Source organism: Homo sapiens, chromosome 5, assembly GCF_000001405.40.
Source record: "Homo sapiens chromosome 5, GRCh38.p14 Primary Assembly".
Taxonomy (NCBI): Eukaryota; Metazoa; Chordata; class Mammalia; order Primates; family Hominidae; genus Homo; species Homo sapiens.
This window is the reverse complement of record NC_000005.10, coordinates 111,006,201-111,016,833: the sequence shown is the minus strand read 5'-3', so window position 1 is coordinate 111,016,833 and position 10,633 is coordinate 111,006,201. Positions and strand designations below refer to the sequence as shown.

Genomic DNA, 10,633 nt, shown 5'->3' with positions numbered 1-10,633 from the left:
AGAATATTACTTAGCAAAATGACAGCTCATTGCTGTAAGAAACACTCTGGGACATAGCTCTCTTTTTGTGTTCACTCTTTAGCTTGAGCTCATATAATGGAATGACAGAATTTATAATTATTTTTTACAAAGGATGTAATGGCCAAATCTATGTAAGTTAACTTTGTATATGCTGGAACTCCACCTTATGAATAACAACTAAAATCTTTTCTGAGATAAGCAATTTTAGAATATATATTTTTGGGTGGATATCCAGTTCTATGAAGTCCTAACTGGATAGAAATGATTTCCTGACTCAACCCTAGGATAGTGTTTAGGGAGCACTTGAACTCGAAATTTCTTAAGATAGTAGAAAGTCTCAATAAGATATACGAAGATTTGCCATTTTCTGGTATTTTACAGCTTTCTGTAACTTTGTCTTCACAAGCAAAATTTGGCCTCTTCACAAAATTTGGCCTCTTCTATTTTCCTGATAACATTGTGTCCATTGGTCCTGAATTTCATTATATATTTTATTCTCCACTTCAATGCATTCTTTTCACTCTTAACATACTTTTACTTCACACACACAAGAAGCAATCAATTCCCTAAGATAAACTACTCTGTGTCCTGGATTTTTCTTTGACTTCCATGAAAATCTTAGGTTGAAACTCAATATATTCTCATCCTTATTCCCTTCCTCCTTGCCTTTGGAATGTTGTCGTACTTGCTTGCTCTTTATCAAGTGATTTCTCTCATTTCACTATGAAACTTTTGAATAAAAATCCAACACCTTCCATTTTTTCAGCACTCACTCTCTCTTTATACAATTGTCACATTCTGTCTCAAAATTACTTTCGTGATAGTCAATAATGAACAAGTAACTAAATTCAGGAGCACTTCTTGACTTGTACTTGAACTTCTTGGAGGCTTGAGCAACAGAGGTCATACTCTCCTTGAAAATGCAGATTTGTATTACTTATTAATCTAGCCCAAATATTGTAAGTACTTTAATAACTAACCTTGTCCTCACAACACCCTTTAAGGTGGTACCGTGATTGCCCCCATTTTAAAGTTGAGAAAATTGAGGACCAGAGAAGTTAAACGCTTGTCGAAAGACCAGTTCAAATGTCCTTGATTCTTTGCTTTCTCATCTCTCATGTATTAGACTCCTTTGCTGGCTTGCTCCTGGCTTCCTCCTTCCAGTATCCTCTGTGAGCATTTCATTCCTCAAGACCGCTGTTGGTCCTCAGTTTCTCGCTTTACTCATTTCCTTTAAATAAAGTGATCCTATATTGTTGAGAAGATTATCATCTTATTGAAGAACAATTCTTACTACTCTTGTAACACACTTTGCTCATTTTGAATTCAAAGTTCTCGTTTATTTGACCATTCACTTCTAAAAGGTCATTTCCCTTTTCTTCTGCTATTACATCTAATACCTATTTTTTAAGGCCTACCCTTTACTGATCTTCCCTGTCTTCTCTGGACTCCAACAACTCTCATTGTCTGAAACAGTCTATTTGGTAATTAGTGACCTCTTGCATTTTGTATTTGTTTCTTATATGCATGTATTGTACTTTAAAACTGTACAGAAAGATCTTGCAAGGATAGGGATCTGTGTTTTAATTACTTTATGTTCTTTTTCTGTCGTTAGTATTTAGCATCTAACATAGTAGTGAATACATGAAAGGTAATTTATCAGCTAAGTTCTTTGGTTACAAACAAGAGAAAACAACTATGGGTAATATAAGCAAAAGCTAAATTGCAGTAAGGATTTTCGGAGCTCATGTTGTTGACAGGAGATGAGGACTAATGATCCATTAGCCACTGACAAGAATGCTGCCACTGGTCAAGATGGAACTCCAACTACTTTCAATATCTTAGACTCTTTGCCAAAGATTCAAATTATAGGAAAGAACATCTGATGGCCTGCCTGAGATATGCCTACTTTCCCCCTAAGGAGAAAAGGCTGCTAATTAGAATCTAACCAGGTTGTATTAGATAGAAAAGAGGACATTCCTCCAAAAGAAATTCCTTTGCTGTTAGAAAAGATGTTAGAAAAGGAAGAAGGATAATGGGGAACAAACAATAAATAAGTTTGTAATAGGTGCTGAATAAACATTTATTGAATGAATTAGTCAGTAAACTTGTGACATTAATCACCACACTTAGGTTTGGTTTTGCACGATTAGCCTGATGTACTTGTGTTTATTTTTTCTATATAGAGCTGAGCCAACTGGGGACTGAAAAAATTCAGAGAGAGAGAACCATGAAAGTCAAGGGCATTGTAAGGATGAATTTAGAACCTCCAATGACAGCAGGCCCTCATTTGGATGCTTGGATTCTAAAATGTTTGCTAAAAGGTAAGTCAGAGCATTTGGTCATATGTCATCTAAACTACACTTTCACCTGTACCTAAGATGTAGGAAGAGGCTGAATGATATAGATACGGGTTTCAAGGTCAGTATAGTAAATTGAAAAGTTATTCTAACCCAGCTCTTTACTGTTAGGCATTCCTTTCCTTCTCTGATTCCTTATAGGTGAAAGAAGGGATTGAAAGATATGAAATGTAAAGTCCCACCCGTTAAAAATTCCACTTTTCCAAAGAGAAACCCTCATTCTTATTTTATATAGTTTTAAGGTGACCAATGGTTAATTATTCCTTGCTGGTTATAGTTATAGAATCTCCATACTCACACTAGTTAAGGAGGTGAGAACACTTACCAATATCAGAGGAAGCAAATGAAACATAAAACCTTCTCAGCAAACTAACACAAGAACAGAAAACCAAACACCACATGTTCTCACTCATAAGTGGGAGTTGAACAATGAGAACACATGGACATAGGGAGGGGACCATCACACACCGGGGCCTGTCAGGGGATGGGGGGCTAGGGGAGGGATAATATTAGGAGAAATACCTAATATAGATGACGGGTTGATGGGTGCAGCAAACCACCATGGCACGTGTATACCTATGTAACAAAACTGCATGTTCTGCACACGTATCCCAGAACTTAAAGTTTAATTAAAATATACCTTACTCAAAATTATTAATCTGCTAAGTGAAAGGACTGTAATTACAATTTCCTTAAATTCCATTTGTTGGCATGCTGCTTGAAACTATTCTAAAGTTATTTCAAATATACATATTTATGACAAATGACAAATCCGTTCAAATAAGACAGTAAGGACTCCTCCAGAATTATTTTATTTATATTTCATCTCCCTTCTAAAACTCAGTGGTATAGTTGTTCTTGAATTGATAATTGTTAATAAAGTTTTTACTAAACATCTCAGGTCTTATCAGCCATATATTTTCTTGATATTAAATAATATAATACAGATGATCTAGCATAAAGGAAAGATTAAAATCTCAGGCTCTAACATCATACAGACCTGGGTTAAAATGCTTATATGAATTATCAGGATTCTCCTTAGGAGGAGCAATAGATTTGTTTCGAAGGGATATACTTTGAGAGTAAAGAATGAGACCCCCCAAGAGCATGCTTAAAAACAACAGAAACAGAGCAAGGACAGGAGTTTGTTTCTTTCCTGATAGAAAGAGTGGGGAAAAGGGACAAGTCTAAAATTGGCCAAATCCCAAGGAATGCATTGTGTGAGTAAACTTCCTGTTGGAGAAATATGTATCTGTAGCTGAAATCAAGGTAGGGCAAAAGAGACAATACATCTTACAATGTCTGATTTACTTTAAATTACTTCAGCATAGATAGTATGATATGATGTACATGCCAGTTACCTTACATTTCAACTCTAGAGGTAGACTATTTACTGAATAATGCACCTTGCAGGGGTGGTCAGCTAGCTTGTACCTATAGTTCTCTGTACTTCTCTGAACACCTGAGGCTTTTCATTCTATTATTACTACAGTATTATATTTACACACTCTGTTACACTTATCTGTATATTTATCTGCTTTTCTTATTTGAATTTGAGGTTTGGGGGCGGACGGTCCAGGACCATAAACTTAAACATATTTTTGTAAACTTAACAATTATCAGGGTACCTGGCACACAGTAGGTATATCATAAAAGTTTCTGAGTAAGTGGTAGAACAAATGTAGAATGAAAGCTTTTTGAGACCTCTGTTTTTATAGTAGTCACTCTATTCAGATATCAGGTTAGAGAGGGCAGTGGAGCTAGTGATGCAGTTTAGCTGTTTGCTTGCATTTCATCCTGTGTGGAGATCCTTGTTTTGTTTTATATTATCCTTTTCCCCTAAAAGAAGAAAAGTGGCTTTTACATACAAATAAACTACAGTAGGATAAAAAATAAACAGGTGAATAAAGATGAATGAAGGTTAAATCAAGATAGGAAATTAAGATATACCAGGGATACAGTTGGTATAAAAAGTTCATACAACAAAGATGCTACATATTTGATAAGAAGTGAGACATGATAGTGGTTCTGAGCTTCCCTTTAACAAAACAAAGGGAGAAACAAGCCCAGAAGCAAAACTTGCAGTGTTGATGGGCTAAATACAAACCACATACTAAGAAGTATGCCAATTTTTACTTGATCCTTAATTAGGCTTTTGGACATTGTCATACCTGAGAAATATTTCTACCATAGGTGTTCCTCACTTTGTTTTTCAGCTTTAGTATTTGTGTTTGATTTTTGAAAAAATTATTTCAATCTCTGTTAAATTTCTCTGATAAATTTATAAATTTATTCTCTGTTTTCTTGAAGTTCACTGAACTTCCTTAAAACAGCTATTTTGATTCTTTGTCTGAGTGATTATGCCTCTCCATCACTTTAGGGTAAGTCTCTAGCACCTTAATTTGTTTGTTTGGTGAGGTCATATTTCCCTGAATTTTCTACTTGCAGACATGCAATCATGTCTGCACATTGAGGGATTAGGTATCTATTTCAGTCTTCACAGTTTGGCTTTGTTTGTGTCTGTCCTTCTTTAGAGGGCCTTTCAGGGATTCTAAACATACTGACTGCTGTGTTCCCTGATTCTCTGTCCATTCCAGTTGTCCCAGCACTAGAAGACATTCTAAGCCCAAGCTTATTCCAAGTCTTGCAAGGACATTGAAGTTGATGCAGCTTTCTGGCCCAGATGGACCTGGGGAAGAACCAAGTAGGATACTGAGTCTGTGTGGGGATGCTGGCCAGGGTCCTGAGTCCAGAAGACTGTCCCGCTGGCTCAAATTGGTGTGCCTTCCAGCAGATCTTTAAGTAGGTGGGATAGGTCACCAAATTCAGTAAGAGAGACTGGAGTTTGAGACTGAGATTCTCCCAGGATCTTCTGTGGGAAGGAGGCTGATGGGCTTATCTTTTTGGCTAAGATGGACGTGCATCACCCAGCAGGTCTCTGCACCAGTGGTGTAATTCCTCAACTTCAAAAGGAGGAGCAAAATCTGAGACTATACTCTCCCAGGATCTACTGTGAAATGGAGGCTGCTGTGCCTATCACACTGGCTCAAGTGGGCATGTGTCTCCCAGCAGGTCCTTGCACAAATGGAAAGTTTTCCAACTGCAGCAGGAGAGGCTACAGAATAGACTGGGCTCCCATGGGATCTACTGTGGGACAGAGGCTGAAGAAGCTGGTCTTGGCTCAGAGGAATGTGTGTAACCCAACAAGTTTCTGCACAGGTAGGATAGTTCCCTGGCTGAAAAAGAAGGGGCCAGGTAAGGCTATTTTTATTACAGTAACTAGTTGGTAGTACTTGAATTGAGATCATCTCTATTTAGTTCATACAATAAATCCATGTCATCTGGATGTAAGATATTATTTCTATTTTCTACAGGAGGTGGTAGAAAAAGAATACAGCACATCATCAGGAATTAGTTTAAACTGGTAAGGTACCAATTGTAAATAAAGAAAATATGAATATAAAATTGTTGACTAAGCACAAATATTTGTCTCCCCTATCTATCAGGACCTTCAATACAAGTTGAAAAAATGAAAAGAATAATAATCGTTCCAGGAAAAATTTGAAATTCTGGCCAATCTTTTCCTGTGCCCCCAAACAAAAAGTTTGGGAGCGAATACTAATCCTTATAAAATACATGGGGGCTGGTGGCAGACTGTCAGGGGAAAATACTTTTGAATTTCTAACTCAGAACTCTCCTGAAGCCCATGTGGCTGAAATATAAAGAAATAGTTTTTAAAATAAAATATTTATTTGTATTTACAAAAAATACTTGCAAACTTTAGCTTTTCAGCCCAAGAAGGTGGTATATATTGCAGAACACTTGCAACTGCATGGGATATGTAAATTCATGAGATGTGAAACTTGCACTCTTTTGTCCGTCTGAAGTTAAGCACTGCAAATTTCCAGAGGGCTTGGTTTAAGATTTAGTCCGTTGACTAATGTTCTGCAATAGTATGCAGCAATAAATTAATTGCTTGAGGATTATCTTCTGTTTCGATATATAGTGGTAAATATGAGAGCAGAGGACATTAACGGACAAGAAATGTCAACAAATCTGAAAGGAGCATTTGGAGACAAGTTGATGAATGAAATAGAACGAAGCATTCCACAGCACAGAATTACTGGGGAGGAACTCTTCCAGACAATAGCAAAGAGCAGCTTCTTCCAAGCTGCTTCTATGTGGTCTGAATAACACAGATACCAAAAATAAAAAGACATTGTGGAAAAGGGAAATTACAGGGCTGTTTCACTTATTAATATAAATACAAAGAACATAGAGTCAAACAGTGTCTAAAACTAATAAAGAACTATAACCAATTTTGGTTTATCCCAGAATATGAGGAAGGTTTAATATTAAAAAATCCATAAATATGTCTAACCCCTCATCATATTAAAAGAAACCAGAGGCAACATCTGATTATATTTAATATCCATTCATCACTTTGAAACTCTTCATAAGTTAGAAAAAGATGAATAGAATTCCTTAACCTGATAAACAGTAAATGCTGTGGCATACCATATAGCACTCAAAATAAATGAATCAGAGTGGCATTTAAAAAGAGATAAATCTTGGCATTATAATATTAAATGACATTCTTTCTATAAGGTCAAACAACTAAAGTGAAACAACATACTTTTAAGAATACATAGATACAGTAAAACTATATTAAAAGGAAAGCCATGGATTGAATGACATAGGACTCAGGAGGATGGCAGCTTGAAAGGGGAAAGCCAGGGAGCTGGGATGGAGAGGCTAGAGCTTATCTGAAGAAATTGACTCTTGTTTGAGATGGTGCTTTCAAAGCAGATTATTACAGAATTAAAAGCAAGAAATCAAATAAATAAAATCACCAGGCTTGAAATGATGACCACATATCATCATGAACCACAAATTATGATTAATCTAGTTTCCTGTACCAGAGGCCAAATGAAAGAAAAAGGACTTGATCATTTGGGAAAGAAAACAGCAGGATAGTATTTGGATGGGGATATGCTGAAAAAAAATTTAATTAAGAATTGCAAGATTTGAGTGCGATTTTATACTGACAGGGAAAAGGCGTAATGAAAATGAGGCTGGGGACATAGGAGAGAACAGAAATAATCAAAGGAGCAGGTAATGCTGAGCAGGCTGGCTAGAAACAGAGCACTGGGGTGATGAGCCTCTGAGAGAGGGATTCTCTCTCATCCTATCAAATAGAGATGAAGTAAAGGGTGTGGACGTGAAAACCTGTGCCAGTGTAGTGGCAGGAACTTGCAGGAGTTCCCCTCTTATGACGTATATTTTCTGTTTAAAATGGGACTCAAGGTCATCTTCTGAGTGAGAGGGGTGGTGGCATGTAGGAAGCATAGGGAGAGCTGTGAGTGTTTGTATGATAGTGGTTAAGACAAATGTCCATCAGTAATAGACTGGATAAAGAAAATGTGGCACATATATACCATGGAATATTATGTAGCCATAAAAAATGATGAGTTCATGTCCTTTGCAGGGACGTGGATGAAGCTGGAAACTATCATTCGCAGCAAACTATCACAAGAACAGAAAACCAAACACCGCGTGTTCTCACTCATAAGTGGGAGGTGAACAACGAGAACGCATGGACACAGGGAGGAGGACATCACACACTGGGGCCTGTCGGGGGATGGGGGGACTAGGGGAGGGATAGCATTAGGAGAAATACCTTATGTAGGTGATGGATTGATGGGTGCAGCAAACCACCATGGCACGTGTATACCTAGGTAACAAAACTGCACATTCTGCACTTGTGCCCCAGAACTTAAAATGTAATTTAAAAAAAAGAGAGAGAGAGAAAAAAAGAACTGGCTCCACATCAGAGATATTTAGGTTTGGATCCTGGCTCTCAGAGGTCACTATGGATGTGACCGTATTTATACATTTCTACTGCGATTGTGGTTCTCTTCCTTCTTTTTTCTCTTACCCTTTTCGTTTTGTTTTTTTTCCTTACCGTTCTTCTTCTTCACTTCTAGTTTAAAAAAGTATCTGTGGAGGAACTGCATTTTATCTGCTTTGGCCATATTTTCATTTCTGTATCAATCAAATATTTCTGGGTAAGCAGGAAACTAAAACTGTTTAAGCTTGGCCCAGGTGCCCACTTGGAACCCTCCACAGCAGATAGTGGTATGACATCTGTAAGAAGGTGCCATCTCCCGTTCAAAAAGAATTTCCTAGAAGAAGGAAGGGTACTATTTTGGGCAGGAAAAATAATAGGAACTCACCATATTATTGTAGTTGTTGATGATGTGAGGATTAGGAAGTAAAATTAAATAGAGAAACACTTCTGGCCAGTGTAGAATTTCTGGTTGAGGTCAAGGAGCATGAATTTGTAGTTGCAACAACCTGTAATATAATATTGTATTATTTTTAGCAACAATACTCTGCAAATCTGATGCAGATGAATTTTTCACATTGGTCCAGATTTGAATTTTTCAGAGAAATGTAACAGGAGAAAGATGATAATATTGGCAATATAGAGGATGAAGAGGTAGGTAGATGATATGATCAAGGGTATATATGAAAGGTGGTGACAAGACGAGAGAGGACTGGGAGAAAATAGAGGATTGGAAGGGTTTATGGGGAAAATCAGCCTGAAGAAACTGAATTGGTCTGAGATCATAATTACGGAATTGAAAGATTTAATGTTTCAAGAGTTGATAATTATAAGATAATAAGTTTACATATCTATCTATGGAAGTAGTTTACTAATGTGGAATTATGATGATGGAAATGAGAGATTAAAAAACAGATGCTAAGGTTCATCTGGGTCATTCACGTACACACTAATATCAGCCAAGTCAAGGTTCATCTGGGTCATACATGTACACATGGATATTGCCTGCAAGTCTTGGGGTGAAAGGAGCACATTGAACCAGATGCTAAAGGCTTGAGTGAAAGAGAAGACACACAGTTGTTTACACTTGCTAAATTTATTACAGTGATGACTAGGAACTATTTTATCCTTAGGGGCTTCAGGCTGAAAATGTAATTTCTTTCCACGTATTTATCTTCACACCATAACCCTTTGGATGTGGAAGTTATTAAAAAGGAATTTTACATGAGGTAAGAATGGGTTAATGAGTCATAAATATGCATAACACAATGCTCATTACATAGCTAACATTAGATATCATGAGAATTATCCTAAAAAACAGATGCTAAGGTTCATCTGGGTCATTCATGTACACACTGATATCAGCCAAGTTGCTGGCAAGTGTTTGGGTGAAAGGAGGACATTGAACCAGATGCTAAAAGCTTGAATGAACGAGAAGACACACAGTTGTTTACACTTGCTAAATTTATTACAGTGATGATCAAGAACTGATTGATCCTTAGGGGCTTCGGGGTGAAAATGCGATTTCTTTCCATGTATTTATCTTCGCACATAACACTTTGGATGTGGAAGTTATTAAAAAGGAATTTTACATGAGGTAAGAATGGGTTAATGAGTCATAAATATGCTTAGCACAATGCTCATTATATAGCTAACATTAGATATTGTGAGACATCCCCTGGAAGTGACATCCCCTGACTTAAAAGAATTTGTAATTTGCAGAAGTTAGGTTTACACATTCAAAACAATTTGAGAATAACAGACTAGTATAGGGTACAAAAAGAACAGGTGAGTAAATGTGTGCAACAGGTATACGGAGAAGGGATAGGCCAATTTTATTAGGTTCTTATACGAACTTTGAAGAAAAGAAGTGATGGATACTGCTTTAGGAACTCCTTTATTTTTATGGCTTAGAACTACATTTTTATATAGTTTTTTCATCTAAGATTAAAATAAAATTTTTCCAAACACAGGACATCCTTTTATTCTTTATTCTGTATTGAGGTGCTCTTTAATTATCTAAAATTTTTAAAGTTTTCTGACTCAGAGGAAATTGCTAATATCATTATCTTCATCCTTTCTTTTCTCCAAAGTACATGCCCTCTGATTTGGGAATTCAAAATGACATTACTCATTTTAAAAATAACAGAAAAAAGTTGGATTTATTGGAATGATTTTTCTTTTGGTTTCTTCCCAAAGTTTTCATAATTTCCACTGATGTATAATTGAAGGAAGAATTTTTTCCCCTCCAAGATCTGAGTAGATCTATTTTTCATAAAGAAAATCAAATGTTTTTTCACAGAGGTTAATAACAATAAAACTATATAATTTATCAAAATTATGCTCCTTAGCTATTTGGGAGAGTCCACGGCGTGCCCCAAACAAAATGCCTTTTCAGCCAGTT

At 36.5% G+C, this 10,633-nt stretch overlaps 1 long non-coding RNA gene across 2 annotated transcripts; it reads left to right on the top strand.

The window, feature by feature from the left end:
- The first annotated feature begins 2,207 nt into the window (after window positions 1-2,207).
- Window positions 2,208-10,138, top strand: LOC105379121 (uncharacterized). 2 transcript variants are annotated; one of them, XR_007058898.1, is made up of 5 exons: window positions 2,208-2,345; window positions 4,979-5,600; window positions 5,756-5,805; window positions 7,870-9,458; window positions 9,704-10,138. It is a non-coding gene; the product is annotated as an uncharacterized LOC105379121 (long non-coding RNA). The 2 variants fall into 2 exon arrangements; XR_948670.1 differs by lacking the exon at window positions 9,704-10,138 and having other exon boundaries at window positions 2,214-2,345; window positions 4,979-5,183; window positions 5,454-5,600; window positions 7,870-7,901.
- Window positions 10,139-10,633: the final 495 nt, after the last annotated feature.